The sequence below is a fragment of the Homo sapiens genome, chromosome 1 (assembly GCF_000001405.40).
Source record: "Homo sapiens chromosome 1, GRCh38.p14 Primary Assembly".
Lineage (NCBI taxonomy): Eukaryota > Metazoa > Chordata > Mammalia > Primates > Hominidae > Homo > Homo sapiens.
Genome location: NC_000001.11, coordinates 60,723,401 through 60,741,070, shown reverse-complemented (window position 1 = coordinate 60,741,070; position 17,670 = coordinate 60,723,401). Strand labels below are relative to the sequence as shown.

The 17,670-nt window shown below is 37.9% G+C and overlaps 1 long non-coding RNA gene across 1 annotated transcript in view; it reads left to right on the top strand.

Moving 5' to 3' along the window:
• The window catches only part of LOC101926964 (uncharacterized), a 165,954-nt gene that overhangs the window by 84,514 nt on the left and 63,770 nt on the right, over window positions 1-17,670 (top strand). The window contains exons 2-4 of the long non-coding RNA NR_110628.1: window positions 7,549-7,607; window positions 8,563-8,624; window positions 11,404-11,496. This is a non-coding gene — a long non-coding RNA (uncharacterized LOC101926964). The remainder of the gene's footprint in view (window positions 1-7,548; window positions 7,608-8,562; window positions 8,625-11,403; window positions 11,497-17,670) is intronic.

The following is a 17,670-nucleotide window of genomic DNA, read 5'->3' as shown; positions in this document are numbered from 1 at the left end:
AAATCAATCAAACCCTGGCTGAGTAAATTTGGCATAACACATCTTATTAGTCACAGGATGAACAGCGATTTCAAACAAGGTTTGCTTGCCATTTCTCAGAGCTGGAATCAACATGGAAGGAACAGTGTGGAGGAAGTATTGCTACTTATACTATCACTATTATTACCACTATTTGTTCACTACTTGAGTTTTATAAGGCATTATAATTTTACTATTTCTACTATCACTATTACCATTAGTTATTTGCTACTTGAATTGCATAGGTCACTATAATTTTAACAGACATTTTAAATGTCTTTTAAATATGTGCTACACACTGTGTGCCAAATATTTTAATAATGTATCACTTGGTTCTTACAATAAACTTATGAGGTAGGAATTTTTCGTCTATTTTACAGGTAAGGATATTGAAGCTAAAACACTATAAATAACTTGATCAAGGACACTTGGCTAGGACTTTGAAATATATAAACTCTGGAAAGAAAATGTATCAGTTAGCTTTTGCAGAATAATGAACCACCCTAAGGTGCAGTGGCTTCAAATAACTACGATTTATTATTACTCATGAGTTTAAGGGCCAGTTGGGTGTTTCTGATGATCTGGGTCAGGCTTGGTTGATATTAACTGGGCTTGCTCCTGCATCTGTGTTCAGATGGAGGCGTGCCTGAGACTGGCTGGTCTTGAGTGGCCTTTCTGGTTTTTTGCTGGCTCTTGACTGCAGCAGTGGGAGTGAGTGGGCCTCATCAACTAGCAGGCCAGCCTGAGCTCATTACATGGAAGACAGGGAGTGTTCCAAGACCAACAGCAAATGTGAGCAGACACTTGAGGCTCAGGTTCAGAATGTTGTTTCTGCTACAACCTTTTGCAAAAGCAGCACAAGTTCAACACAGATATAAAGGATGGAGAATTAAATTACACCTCTTGGTGGAAGAAATGTAAAGAATTGTGGCCATTTTGGTTACCTACCACACATGCCTATATGTGTTGGGCTCCAAAGCCAATGATCCTGCAGTGCTGCATTTTAATTTTATTCTTATTTTAAGGATAAAACAACTGAGGTTCAAAGATCTTAACTTGCTCAGTCTCTTGACTGCTAAGCAGCTGGACCCTGATGTGAAGCCAGGCATGCATGACTCCAACCAGTGAATTTCTACTGGGCCTGGTTGCTGGCACTCAGTTTTCAGAGTCTGTGAGATGTAGAGTCATTCACTCTTGTGGGTAGAAGGAACCTCAGAGGTTATCTGGCCCATTAGCTGATACACTTTTGAATCTCATAGGTCACTATAATTTTAAAAGACATTTTGGCAACCAACACAGAGTAGTTAAACTATTTTTTTTCCTCCAAGTCAAGGCATTTGCTTGTCATTCTCATTTCATTATGAAAAAGAAATGTGATGCCAAAAAGCATAATTTTTAAATAAAGGACAGTTGTTTAAATTGAATTAATTCAGTATTGTGAAAAACTTGCTACTTTTGTTTATATTTTGTTGTGGTAGCTTTACATCAGTCCAAAGAGTGGAATTTAGGAGCCCCTAACCTAGACTACTATTCTGTTTAAGAATCCACTCTAAAACTTTCCTAACATGTGATCTTCCATTCATTGCCTGTGTAATTCTAATGACAGACAGCTCACTATTACCTGAAGCAGCTTATTCCATCTTTGGAGATATGTACAAAAGAATGTTTTTTTTTTTATTTTATTGAAACAAAATCCTTGCTGGTGACATCTATACATTAGCTGAAGTTCATCTGTTGGTGCTCAGCTAGAGAAGTTGAATGCACTAAGGTGTTTGAAAATAGCCATCATGACTCCCTAAGTTGTCATTACCCCTAGTCCCTTTGGTCTCCAGTTATACAGCATTGGCATTGAGCACCATCTACTTTCATACTGCTCTCAGGCTCTACCCAGTTTGCCTACATTTGCCTTCATGTGGATGTAGACCTCAGTTTAAGTCTCTGGGCCTGGCCTGATTAGCTGTAGTAGATTAGGTCATCCATTTTCTCTCCTTTTTTATATATTATTATTTATTTATTTATTTTTATTATTATACTTTAAGTTCTAGGGCACATGGGCACAATGTGCAGGTTTGTTACCTATGTATACATGTGCCATGTTGGTGTTCTGCACCCATCAACTCGTCATTTACATTAGGTATATCTCCCAATGCCATCCTTCCCCCCTCCCCCCCACCCCACAACAGGCCCTGGTGTGTGATGTTCCCCTTCCTGTGTCCAAGTGTTCTCATTGTTCAATTCCCACCTATGAGTGAGAACATGTCATGTTTGGTTTTTTGTCCTTGCGATAGTTTGCTGAGAATGATGGTTTCCAGCTTCATCCATATCCCTACAAAGGACATGAACTCATCCTTTCTTATGGCTGCATAGTATTCCATGGTGTACATGTGCCACATTTTCTTAATGCAGTCTATTATTGTTGGACATTTGGGCTGGTTCCAGGTCTTTGCTATTGTGAATAGTGCTGCAATAAACATACGTGTGCATGTGTCTTTATAGCAGCATGATTTATAATCCTTTGGGTATATACCCAGTAATGGGATGGCTGGGTCAAATGGTATTTCTAGTTCTAGATCCCTGAGGAATCGTCACACTGTCTTCCACAAAGATTGAACCAGTTTACAGTCCCACCAACAGTGTAAAAGTGTTCCTGTTTCTCCACATCCTCTCCAGCACCTGTTGTTTCCTGACTTTTTAATGATCGCCATTCTAACTGGTGTGAGATGGTATCTCATTGTGGTTTTGATTTGCATTTCTCTGGGAGAAAATTTTTGCAATCTACTCATCTGACAAAGGGCTAATATCCAGAATCTACAAAGAACTCGAAAAAATTTACAAGAAAAAAACAAACAACCCCATCAACAAGTGGGCAAAGGATATGAACAGACACTTCTCAAAAGAAGACATTTATGCAGCCAAGAGACACATGAAAAAATGCTCATCATTATTTTCTCTTTCTACTTATTTTCTCTTTCTCTTTCTACATATGATTTTTCTATTAATGAGGTGTAATTTTTCTATTAATGATTTTGTGCCTTTGCACAAAATCTTATCAAGCTGTTGACTTAAGGCTCAAGTTAAGTCTCAATTTCTGTATGAATGAAATGAGAGCGCTGTAAAGCTCTTTTAAAGGCTCAATAAATACTTATTAAAATCCAATATGACTTCAATAGCATTTATAGAATATATTTTATGAACTAGTCCCTATGATAGTCACTAGGAATCTAGAGAAGAAAAGGTAATTTCTATTCTCAAAGAAATCAAAGTGCAGAAAGTAAAACAAACATGCAAAAATAATAAAGCAACAAGATTATCATTTTTTTTTTGGTGGTATGTGCAAAGTGAGATGGGAGAATAAGAAAAGCAGCATCAATACCTTCCTGGGGTTCAAGGAAGACTTTGTAGAGGCTGTAGCATCTGAACTAAGAGCTAGAGATTGTGTAAGATTGGCCTGTTGGCCCTGGTTTCTCTACCTCTTGGGGAGGTAATACACCATACAGATGAAAGAGCACAAGCTTTGGAACCAGAAAATCTGGATTCTAGTCTTGGCTCTGCCACTTCTCACAGGTCAAACTCACTATATGTTGACTTCCTTTCCAAGGACATTATTGCCCCATCTCAGTATTGCGAGGATTAAATGAGATAATATGCATAAAGTTCTTGGTATAATTCTGGTGCATGATGTGGTAGGTATCATTGTTCCAAGCAACTTAAGATGACCCAAGTACCAAGCACTGCTAGCCTGATTGAGGACACAATTTATCTTCCTTTACCTTACCCTCTGTGCACTGCAATGAAGTATGCACCCAGAATGCGTCCCTTACATGTCAGAATCTTAAGATAATGGCTTTAGGAAGAACACATGAATGGGCCAAGAGCTGCTGCAGTGAAAAATGCTGACATGTACCAGAGGATAGTCTGAGGCAATAAGGTTCACATTGCTCTTTTGAAATGTAATCACCAGAAACTCAAAATTAAGAAAAAAAAGCTTTTAAAAAATTTTTAAGAGAAAAATACAGTCATTTATTTAATAATGAAAGATTCTATAAAGTTATTGAATGTTTTATCATTTAAAATAACTTTTAAAAATTATACTTCTGAAGCATTTAAACCATTATGTAGTTCTCAAAATTGTATTGGTCATTTTCTCTCTGTGACATTTGTAAATATGTTTGACCAAATAATTCCAATTTAACTATACTTGCAGGTAACAATTAAGCATGTGTTTTCCATGTTCTTCCTTTTGACTATTTAAATTTTAAGTTTGATTTTTATTTTATTAATGTGATTTTTGGCTTCAGCCAATTGAGTTTTTAATCACTGTAGTGTTTGAAATCACTGGAAGCTTCTCAAAGGAGAACAATATAATGGGAAAATTAACTCCTAAATAATTTCTATGCAAGTCTATGGGAATTTTCTTCTATTAAAGAATTACTTCTACTTTTTACGGCAGCTGAAAAAAAAATCCACATTTTTTTCCTTTTGTTAAATCTTCAGAGTGCCAGAACTCAAAAATATTTTTTAAAAAATGAAAATAAATTTGAAGAAAAATCACAGACTAAAAACAGTGCAAAAGACAGCCATATGTCCTTTATCCATATTTTACTGTTGTTAACATTTTGCCCCATTTACTTTACCATTTCTTCTCTTTTTTCCACGCACACATGAGCGTGCATATGCACACACACACACACACACACACACACACACACACACACATGCATCTTTGGAGAGCCATTTGAGAGTAAGTTGCATATATTATAGCTTTTCTCCTAAATATTACAGTGTTTACTTGCTAGAAATAATGGTGTTTTCTTACATAACCGCAAGGTGGTTATTAATTTCAGTAGATGCTGATGTAATACCTTGATGTAATCTGCTGTCCCTATTCCAGTTTTGTCAATTGACTCAATAATATCCTTTATAGCATTTTTTACCTCCATTATGGGATCAGTCAAAGGCTAAGTATTGCCTTTAGTTGTCATGTATCTTTAGTCTCCTTCAATCTGAAACATTTCTATAGGCTTTCTTTTTCTTTTATGATACTGACATTTAAAAAAATACAGCCTCCTCCCTGCTTAAAATAGAGTGTATCTAATTTGCCGGATGGCAATCTCATATTTCCTCATAATTCGCTTCAGTTTATGCATTCTAGGCCACTTAAGTGATGTCCTTCTCAGGGCATGGCATTTGGAAGTACATGGTGTCCATCTGCCCCTCATTGGTGATGTTAACTTTGATCACTCAGTCAAGGTCATTTTTCATTTCTCTACTGTTTAATTACTATTTCTCTCTTTCTCTTACCAATTAGCAAAATGTAGAGAGACATTTTAAGGTCATGCAAATACATATCATTCTCCTTATCAAAATTTCCCCATAGAGTTAACATCCATGGATGATTCTTTTGTCTGAACCAGTTTTATACTATGATGGTTACGAAATGATGATTTTTTTTTCCAACTTCAGAACTTCTATATTTACCAGTCAGGACTCAGCAAGACAGCCTTCTTTTCTTTGTCTGTCTTTCTGTCTATCTATCTATCTATCTATCTATCTATCTATCTATCTATCTATCTATCTATCTATCTATCATCTATCTATCTCTATCATCTATCTATCTATCTATCTATCTATCTATCTATCTATCTATCTATCTATCTATCTATCATCTATCTAGATTTATCATAAAAATGGACCATGGATTCCTATTTTTAATGTTCTATAATTAATCACCACCTTTAATTAATTGGTGGTCAAATCATGTCATATTCGGTCAGTGGTAGCCCCTTCAAGCTGGCTCCTATGTACTTGTAATGTGCTCTCGACCACTTTTTGAGTATTTCCTTACTTTCTGGCACAACTCGTTTTTCCAGACTCATGTTATACACAACTTGCCCCAGCTTTGAAATCAGCTATCTCTCTGTGGTGCCCTGGTTCCTTTTGGTGGGGAATGGCATTAGAGACAAAAATGTGGGAGCTAAGTCTGCTCATTGCTACTGGAGTGTCTTTGCTTCTAGACCCTTTCAGCAGACAGAGCTAGGAAAGAACCAGGAAAGGTACACACAAACACATATATATTAGAAAAACTGAATCCCTAACAATAGCCTCCAATTTCAATCCACCCTCATAGGATTCTTTATTTCCTTCTTCTACTCCATATTTACACATCCCTTCTTCCACATTGAAAACTCTGGATCCCATCAACATCAAAACATTTCTTTATTTGCTCACTTCCATAATACATATAAAATAGTTTTCGAATTGCTTCACTTAAACCACTACAAAAAACAAACTCATTAAAAAGAGTTCAGAATGTATGGTTTCCCACCCTCTACCCTGCATAAATGAATGCAGTGTTCATATGACTTTTGTTAAACTTCTCTACCTGTTTCTCTGGTCAGTGAGGTTATGCAATTCATTTGAAACACACTTGGGTTCAATTTTATGGTTTGCTTTCAGAATTTTTTTTGCCCTTCCCATATTTATTGGATACATTTTATTTTCTTTAATATGTAAAACATTGACAGCTTTTCAAGCCAAAGCCCTATAAGCAGCTCTATTATTAGAGGAGTGTCACTGTTGCCCATATCTCTTTCTCCCTGTTTCCTCATCTCTGTAGGTAACCAACTTAATTGTTTTCTGTTTTTCCTTTCCTTGTTTCTTTTCTTTCTTTTGTAGGGGGTAAGATTAAGCAGAGACTTTTATGTTTTCTTATTTTCTCTCATATTTTACAGAAAAGATAGCATACTATATATGCTACTTTGCATTTTGCTTTTGCACTTAACAGTATCTCCTGGAAATTGCTACAAATTAGTGTGTAGAGATCATCACATTTTTAACAGCAGCATAGTACTCTATTGTGTATATATACTATGGTTTATTCAACCAGTCTTTTATTCTTGGATATATTTAGGTACTTTCCAATATTTTACATATAAAAATGGTGTTGCACTGGGTAACACTATGTATATGTAATAATACACATATATTAAAGGTGTATATTCAGGGTTAAATCTCAGAAGTAATATTGCTAGGGTTAAGGGTAAACACATATGTAGTTTTTAAATATGTTGTCAAATTATCCTCAATAGGTGTTATGGCAGTTTGCATTTCCACTAGTAGAAGAGTGCCTGGGAAACTCAAAATTTTGATCTTTATGCTCACATAATGATAACTCAGAAGGGATTCAGGAGCCAGGACAGAATGAAAATCAAACATTAGGTGTAAAATTTAGTGGGAAAAAGGATGCCCATACAAAATCAATTCACAAAATGCTTTTTGAGACCCTTGGACACTATCTGCTTGAGGGTAGGGTGGTCTTATTTAATTTTTCTCTTTGCAGTTAGGTATCTATTACTAGGCATCTTAGCAAGATACCTAACTCATGGTAGATGTTCTGTAGACATTGACTGTTCAAATGAGTTAAAGAATAAACTGGCAAAAATTTGGCATTGCCCATGGGAATAAACAAACCTGGCTAGGAGATTATTTTGAAGTGACAAATCTCACCTCCTCTCTCCTCATCCCTCCTAGACAGACATTTCCTTGTTCCTGGGGACTGAGCAGTTTGAAGTTTCCAAAGATGAAAACATGTAAGTTGTCCTTGCATAAGAAGATGGGGCCGCACAGAGGCCTATTGTCTGCAGGGACATTGAGAGCTCTATGGTGAAAGAGGATTGTCCTCAACTGCAGCCTGGTCTTTTTCAGCCTGAATATTGCCTTTTCTCTCTGGAATGTAATATTCTACCCATGCCCTCTGAGTGGCAGGGTCAGGAATGGGAGGGTGCAGGTGGGGAAATGATCTTTGTATAGGCAATCCAATAAGTCAGAGGCAGTATCAGAGGGCATGGCTAGGCCTGGATCTCTGAATAAGTGCTTTGTGCAGGTCTTGGTGGCAGTGGCTGGAGAAGCACCTTCCTCTTGCAGCTTACCTGGTGGCTGAACAAAGCAACCTTTCAGGCCTCGGGACCCACAGCAAACATTGCGCAGGTGATTGACCTGCTCTCTTGCCCTGCAGTGGCCCAAGGATCGCATTTCTCCCTGGCATTTCTTGTGGGTCACCACTAGGGCCTGTTCTTCTTCTAGGATTGTAGGGGAAATGGTGACAACAACCCACAAGGAGATGGGGCACTGGTTCCAAGGTCAGACAGGTTACTAGAACTCTGAGGACATTTTTTCAGAATCACAGGGAGCAGGCACAGCTAATTAGATGTGTCTTGGCTCTTGGCATGGTCCACACTACACTAGCAAGCACTCTTTCCCTGGCTTCCAGCATTTATAAAATTTCTTTTCTCATTTGATCTCCATGATAGTCTTGGGAGGTCTCTAGGACAAAATTTACATGGAGATGATAGTCTTGGGAGGTCTCTAGGACAAAATTTACATGGAGATAGTGGGACCATACTGTGCTGAAGTGCATCCAGGATGGTAGAGTCTTCTGACTCTTAATTCAATTTTTTTGGACGCAGTTATGCACAGTATCATGGGGATTAGTGTGATGATGGGGCAAAATTATATGCTGTAACTTTATTTTGGGTTTTGTTCTAGCTACTCTGAAGAGACCTGAATGGACAAGAGATGTTTTCCTCTTCCTTACCATAATAAAAGAGGTAATCTTTGTGTTCTGAGTTTGAGTTTCTTTCTAAGGGATTGTTAATAGTTTCTATGCATCAGGGTTAAAAACAGAAATTGCAAAGCACCTGGAAAAAAACACACATACTTCTATTCGGGCTATGGTTTATAAGGTGCTGTGGGCCCAGGAAATAGAACGGGGTTCACTCAAAGGTGAAAGGAGATGTTTTCCTTTTCTCTGGTGGAGACAGGGCTAGGTAGTATCTTTAGTGTTTCCATGAGTGGTGGAGATCCGTGACCTCTGTGTCTGATGCATCAAAGATGGGGAGGTGTCTGTGAGAGGATTGTGGAGGCTGACACTGAGGCTTTACGAGCAGGCATTGGTTTTGCAGTCAGGCCTCTGTTGAGTGAAAAGGACTGCTGTGAAAGTACATCTGAGCCCACCTGAAGCATCCTCACCTGCTAGATGGGGGAGGACAAGTTCGCCCAGTAGCCTCATGCACAAAACAGACAATTGGAAGATGATGACATGATGGAGTAATCTCTCACTTTTTGGACACCACGTCAACCTCCTTGATTGTCTTTAAAACCCTAGGAAGAGAAGGAATTCCCCTTCAAAAGTGACTGAAATGGAATCCTTCTTGTTTGTAGCAAGCTGGGACTCAGAGCCAAATTTAATTCACTTAAAAAAAGTGAAATGATTTGTTCATTTATTCATTCAACAAAATTTATTGAGTGGTTACTGTAAGTCAATATGATCTCAAAGAATGTCAGTATGTCCTTCTCTGGACACCTTAACAAAGTTTGATTAAAATGAAGTCATTAGATATTTGGCCTCTGTCATGATTCTGTTTTCTCTGTCATGTTCCCTCTTCATGAATCGTTGCCCCACAGTGTTTGCATAAATCTGACTCTTTCTTCAAAATGTGGTTCAAATACTTCCTTTTTTTGGCAGATACTCATGTTCTCCCATCCAACCCATAAATCAAGGTGTAGCTGGGTTTCAGTTTGAGCATGGGCCATGTCTGCTTACAGGTCCAGGCATGCTTGAGGCTATTGGGAAAACTTCAGGTTTGTATCTGATGGAACTATTTTGGAGGATATTGAGGATCCTCCTGTGAAAGAAGTCATAATGCTTCCACTTGTGGGATCCAGATAGACACATTTGGGCATGTATGGAGAGCCAGTTGAGAGGCCTTAGGTTTTAAGAAGTGGGTAGCTGACTCCCAAGAAAAAACCTATGCTCTGGCTGCCATTTGGGTTTGTTTCCTAACCTGCCTTAGGCTTTTTTAAAGGGTGGATCTTAAGCGGCACAGAGTTGCCATATATAGAAATGAAAATAACTGCTTTGTTTAAATATCTGCAAACTTTGGGATAAGAGGCATACAGTTTGGTACTGCTTTCTCTGTTCTTGGAGGTTTATACAAAAGGGATAGAAATGTTTTTCTCCAATTGTCAGAATATTACCAAAATTTTTGGTGCTTACGCACATCAAAACTTTTGGGTCATTGAACATGAGGCTTGGCAGAGCAGAGGTAAAACTGCTGTGGAATCTTGGTCTAGGGGATAAACCAAAAAATATCTGAGAGAAGTCTCAATCAGTTTAGAAGTTTACAGCTTGATTTTATGCATTTTAGAGGGACAGAAGTTACAGGCAGATGTCAGTCAATACATGTAAGGTAGGCATTGGTTCAGTCTCGAAAGGCAGGACAACTTGAAGTGGAGGGTGAAGTGGGGGTGTCCTTCCAGGCCAAAGATTTTCTGGTTGGCAATTGGTTTAAATATTTAAGCTATTATCTAAAGTCCCGGAATCAATAAAAAGGAATATACGCGTTAAGATAAGGAGTTGTGGAGACCAAGGTTCTTATTATGTAGATGAAGCCTCTGGATAGTAGGCTTCAGAGAAAGTAGATGGTAAATGTTTCTTGTCAGAGTTAAAAACATGCCAGACTCTAAGTTAATCTTTCTTGGATCAGGAAGAGACCTGGAAAGGTAAGGGGAATCTCTCCAGAATGTAGATTTCCTTGACAAGAGACAGACTTGCAGGGCCATTTCAAAATATGTCACCTAAGTATATTTTGGGGTAAAATACTTCGATTTCTTTGAAGACCTGCTATCTGTCATGTAATGTTATACTGGAGTCATGTTGAAATTTGATATTTCATTGTTACAAAGAGTCTTTTGTCAGTCTTAAGATTTCTATTTTAATGTTAATGATGGTCAGTTATGCCTGAATTCCAAAGGGAGAAGGATATAATGAGGCAAGTCTGACTCCCCCTTTGCCATCATGGCTTGAACTAGTTTTCCAGATTTACTTTGGAATGCCATTGGCTGAGAGAAAGGTCCATTCAATTGGTTGGGGGGCTTAGAATTTTATTTTTGGTTTACAAGGGCTTGGTTGAGTACTGTAGAGGAACAGTGGGCACCTTGACACCTAGTGTCCAGGTGCAGAGGCCTGCATGAGTAGACTTGTTCAGGAATAAGGAGTAAGATTCTGCCTGTGGAAGTCCAGAAATTATTTGGTGGAGAGATCTTGAAGATGATGGAGGGTGCTGTTTTAGTCCAGTGGGAACAGAATGCTACAAGATTTGTGGTGTTTTGGGTTAATGTAATCCAGAAGTGGAGAGAGTGGGGGAAGGAATGATGGACACTAGGGAAATCTCATGGACAACACTGTGGCAAGTCCAAGGCAGCTTGAACTGATCACTAGGAGAGAGTTGTGTTTTAAAAAGATAATTCTGGAGGCAGGCAGATTGGAGATGGGTAAAACTGAAGAAGGAAAAACTGATAACATGTCACATTTTTTAATATTTCCAGGACTGCTCCTGACCACAGGATATGCCTGGTCCAGGAAATGGCCACATTTCCCCCCTCAGGACCTCTACTTGGATGGGCTGCCTTGGAAATAAGGTGAACAATTAGTCTTTATCCTGAATTCTCTTTTGATGACTCTGTTTTCTAGTTATTAAAGAGTACTTTAACTTAGAGGTATTTGTTTATAATCCTTCATTTTGTGAGTTTTTTTTTTTTTTTTTTATAATCAAAGCTTTGCCTCAAGAACTAATTTTTGCCTACATTATAGGTTTCTAGAAACCATTCTGGGACAGTATTGAAATATGAATAAATGAAATATAATCCCTCCAGTTGGATTCTCAACCCTCCCATGTTTTTTCATTTTATCCTGAAGTTATAAGGATACTCCCATCCTTAAAATTTCTGTTTGCTTTTTAAGGCACCCAGTAATGTTGATTGACCTTCACCTCTCCCTTGACTCAAACATACACACTCACACACACCCATGCACACTCACACACCACACATCTCTCACCCCATCCCTGAGGTGCTTGACCTCCTCTCACCAGAAACAGTGGCTCTCTAAAGCAGAAGATCAGGGACTTACTTTGAAGAGATGATGAACCATGCAGCTTGAAAAATTACAGCTAGGGCTGGGCAAGGTGGCTCAGTGGCTCATGCCTGCAATTGTAGCACTTTGGGAGGCCGAGATGGATGAATTGCTCGAGCCCAGGAGTTCAAGACCAGCCTTGGCAACATGGAAACCCTGTCTTTACAAAAAAAATACAAAAGTTAGCTGGGTGTGATGGCATGCACCTGTAGCCCCAGCTACTTGGAAGGCTGAGGTGGGAGAGTTGTTTGAGCCTGGGAGGCAGAGGTTGCAGTGAGCTGAGATTGCACCACTGCACTTTAGCCTGGGTGATAGAGCCAGACCCTGTCTCAAAAAAAAAAAAAAAAAAAAAAAAAAGAGAGAGAAACAGAGAAATTCCAACTGGAAATGTTGCTGTTTCCAGAAGGTTAGGGAATCCACAGCTTTTCAGGATGTAAGCCTATTGACCCTTATGCCACTTGCAACTACTTTCAGGCTTACACTAGCCTTTTAAAAAAGTCAAGTATTATTTGATTACATTTTCTGTACTGGGAATGTAGGAATTTTGCATATGTGGCAATGGAAAACAATTTACTTTGGAGTCCAAATACAGGAATGAACCAAAATAATTATTGTGAACAAATTTATAATTGTTGTTATATTGCCATCCATGCCATTGGGATAATAAGAGGATCTTCTCTTATGGTGTGTGTGCATGGTGAAGATCCACAGGGCTATGAAGACGGGCTGAGGAGTCACATGGACAGGGCAGGAGGGCAGATTTTCATGGGTACTTGTAATGACATTGTGCACATCTTTCTGGAAACTGATTAATATAGTTCTTAGCCATTTGCGTATTTTTGAGGGACAATGATTTTAAGATATTAAATTGAAATTGGTCCATTATATTATTATATTTTAAAACAATAATTAAGCTCTTTAACAGTTTGGATAACTAAACTTTAAGAGTATCATTAATCTGGAAATGATCAGAGCTGGAACATTGCAGTTAAAGGAATGCATTTGTTCTTTTTTAATATGTCTTATCTAGAAAGCACATAAAATGGAACTTAAAGTTAACTTACTGTCTTTGTTTGTGTTGCCATAAAGGTACACTTGAGGCTGGGTAGTTTATAAAATTAAAAAAAATTTATTTGGCTGTTGGCTCTTTGGGCTGTACAAGATACATGGCAACGGCATCTGCTCAGCTCCTGGTGAGAAGCTCAGGCTGCTTCCACTTATGGCAGAAGGCAAGGGGTGCTGGGTGTGCAGTGATCTCATGGTGAGAGAGGAAGCAAAGGTGAGAAAGGGGAGGTGCCAGGCTCTTTTTAACAACCAGCTCTTATGGGAACTAACAGAGCAAGAACTAACTCACTACTGTGAGAATGGCACCAAGCCATCCATGAGGAATTTGCCCTCAGGACCCAAATACCTCCATTAGGCCCTACCTTCTAACATCACTACTCTGGGGATTAAATTTCAATGTGAGGTTGGAGGGGACAAACATCCAAACTACAGCACTTACTTTATCAATTTTCTCAACAAAACTATAAAATATGCAACCCTATTTTCAATGTTAGAATTTGCCAAGATGGCTAGCCTTCTTTTCCCTTTAAAACTACTTTAAAGAGTAAAATATTAAATAAATAGAAGGAAGAAACCTAAAAATCAAGTCAGCTGATTTATGGTCATGTGATTTTCAAAAATCTTTTCTCTAACCAGGCCTGCATACGTAAAGGAAGGCTCAAACCTTCCACAGAACTTCAAATCCTCTTCTACCCAAACATCATATTTCCTCAGAACTGGCTTAATGTTTCTTGGTCAAGCCATATAACCTGTTCTAGAAAGGAACCCCCTCTGTCTCATTTTTATGCGTACAAAAAATGGTTAAAATGAGACAATGTCACTTTTTTTTTTATCCTGAATGGTGGCTGCCAGCTATTAAAATGCTAGTTACCCCAAAAATACAAAAACACCAAATACAGGAGCCAAAGACAGCCAGAAAACAAGAGGAATGAAGTCTACTGAGTGATTAATCATTTGATTAACCAGGTAGGTCTCTGGCACATTACTAATTAGCTCACTTACAAAGCCCTGCACTGAGCAGCCCTGGTTTGATTAAAGAGGTGCCGAGCCATTCAAACTCTGATGCTTGAGCTGCTTTTATAAAACAAAATGTGACTTTCATGCTAAACTCATCTCTGTAATCCAGAGATGACTTTTCAGGCCTCTGACACTCAGACCTAAGCAAATAAATCAAAGAGCCAGAAAATAGTCCTGTGAAAACAGCTCCGAGAATATAATCTGTCTTCTAGGACTCTATTCTAATTTGTAAAGGGGATTGTCTAAGTTCTGAGGTTGCAGTAACTACTTGTTGGTGGCCCACTGGGTTATCTGCAAGTATTGGTAGAAGACTCTGCCTTTGTAGAAAGGCATAAATCTGCTCTCACTCCACTCTATTCCTGTGGTAGGATTTATGAGATTTAAAAGAAGATATTTGACATCGTTATTACAGATCTTCTCAACTTTACTATGGAGTTTGCCTTTAAAATATACTCACAGTTTATTTCTTCTTGGCTAAGTATTTCTATTCATAGTCATTTTAATGGATTCTTTTCTTCCCCAGATGGAAACATCCATCTTCTCTGTGGTACTAATTTAGAGTGATCTTGACTGCCTACAACATTAAGGAGGTATAATAGACTCTTTCTGCTCCATGATTCTACTTTGGATTCTCATACAGAATATTTACTTCTTTATTTTTTCAGCTTGCTTAAAATAACTGAATACTTTTTCAGGCTGTACACTGTGCCAATGAGTTTAGCAACAATTCTATTGTAGTTTCCTTTTTAACTATTGCAGGAATTAAAAAAAAAAAACTAATAGAAATGTTGGTTGGGTTAGTGGAAGTACAGTGTTAAGGTCAAAGCCAAATTCTTATCTTACGACATTTCAGGTTGATCACATCGTGGCTGGATATCATCTCCACTCTGGGTGCCATATTCCAAAGGGTTATTTACAAAACAGAGCTTGTCTAACAATGGCCAGGAAAGAGAGGGTCATGTTGGGACATCTTGTCATGGGGGAATAGCTAAGGAACTGAAGAAGAGACCAGAGTGGATATGGACATGGCACCTGTCTTTAAATATCTGAAAGATGGAATGAAATGTACTCTTGTTCACTGTTTTAACTCCAACATGTAGCATAGTGCCTGGAAAGAGCAAGCATAAGCAACAGTGATCATGACTTTTTGAACACATAGTATGTGCCGGTCATTGTAATGGTGTTTTGCTTACCCTATCTTACTTAGAAATTATTATTATCTCCAATATATAGTTGAGGAAGCTCTGGCTCAGAAAGATTAAGAAACTTGTTCTAAATTGCATGGTACATATCTAATCTAGGAGTCAATACAGGTCTGTGTCCGGGGCCTGAGTATATCTCTCCATGGTAGCCTGACTCTCATGACACCTGTCTTGCTGCCACAATGAGCTTGATGTTCACTGGGGGTCCAAGTTGGAACTTTGGTGATCAAATCTTAGGACTTTTATTTTTTTGCTTATGGATGAGGAATTGAGCGTTGGGGAACTGAGGTTACATAACTGGTATATTCCAGAATCAGGACTAAAACCCAAGACTTTCTACAAAACTCAGTCTCTTGATCACTATGTTCCATCTCCTCTCTGCTATGAACAACTCAATACATGCTTGATTTTAACTTGATCTGGACAAAATACTGCTGCTTTAAGTGAGAATCTCCATTATATCTACCTTCTTCTGCTTAACTTTTGAAAACTGGGAACTCCCTTGTCTTCTGTACCTGAATTCTTGGATTGCCCTTAACTGGTATTCAGTTTTTCTCTGGATTCTTTATCTGCCCTGTCCAGCTGACCTTCCTGTTGTAAATGTGGATAATTATTATCTAAGTTTACTAAGTGTTTTGTGTAGTGTCACCGTATCAGATCTAGTACAGCACTAAGTGCTTATCCTCCCAACATTTAAATATTACTTTTAACAATCTCATGAATAGAATTATTGTTGTCTATATTTCACAGATTTAGCAATCAGAGTCTCAGAGAGGTTGAGCATATTTTCAAGGTCACATAGCTAGTTAATTTAGCCACGGAAATCAGGCAAGAGAAAGAAATAAAGGACACCCAAGTAGGAAGAGAGGAAGTCAAACTATCTCTGTTTGCAGATGACATGATCTTATATCTAAAAAATCCTGTAGTCTCAGCCCAAAAGCTCCTTCAGCTGATGAACAACTTCAGGAAAGTCTCAGGATAGAAAATCAATGTGCAAAAATTACTAACATTCCAATACACTAACAACAGTCAAGTCAAGAACCAAATCAGGAACACAATTCCATTCACAATTGCCATAAAAAGAATAAAATACCTAGGGATACAGGTAACCAGGAAGGAGAATGATCTCCACAAGGAGAACTACAAAACATTGCTCAAAGAAAACAGAGATGACACAAACAAATGGAAAAACATTCCATGCTCATGAATAGGAATAATCAATATCATTAAAATGGCCATACTGCCCAAAGCAATGTATAGATTAAATGGTATTCCTATTAAACTACCATTGACATTCTTCACAGAACTAGAAAAATCTATTTTAAAATTCATATGGAACAACAACAAAAAGAACTCAAGTAGCCAAGGCAATCCTAAGCAAAAAGAACAAAGCTGGAGGCATCATACTACCTGACTTCAAACTATACTACAGGGCTACAGTAACCAAAATGGCATGGTACTGGTACAAAAATAGACACATATGCCAATTAAACACAATAAAGAACTCAGAAATAATGGTGCCCACCTACAACTATCTGATCTTTGACAAACTTGACAAAAACAATCAATGACAAAAACAAACTTGACAAAAACCAAAGGATTGCCTATTCAATAAATGGTGATAGGATAACTGACTAGCCATATGCAGAAGATTGAAACTGGACCCCTTCCTTATACCATATACAAAAATCAACTCAAGATGGATTAAAAACTTAAATGTAAAACTCAAAACTATAAAAAACTCTGAAGGACAACCTAGGCAATAACATTTTGGACATATGAACAGGAAAAGATTTCATGATGAAGACAGCAAAAGCAATTGCAACAAAAGCAAAAATTGACAAATGGTATCTAAGTAAACTAAAGAGCTTCTGCACAGTAAAGGAAAATATCAACAGAGTAAACAGATAACCTATAGAATGGGAGAAAATTTTTGCAAACTATGCATCGGACAAAGGTCTAATATCCAGCATCTATAAGGAACTTAAACAAATTTACAAGAAAAAAAAATTAAAAAGTGGGCAAAAAAATAACAAACACTTCTCAAAAGAAGACAAGCATATGGCTAACAATCACATGAAAAAAAGCTCAACATCACTGATCATTAGAGAAATGCAAATCAAAACTGCAGTGAGATACCATCTCACACCAGTCAGAAGAGCTATTACTAAAATGTCAAAAAATAACAGATGCTGAAGTGATTGTAGAGAAAAAGGAATGCTTACACACTCTTTGTGGCAGCGTAAATTAGTTTAACCATTGTGGAAGACAGGGTGGTGATTCCTCAAAGACCTAAAGACAGAACTACCATTTAATCCAGCAATCTTATTACTGAGTACAGATCCAAAGGAATATAAATTCTATTATAAAGACACATGCATGTATATGTTTATTGCA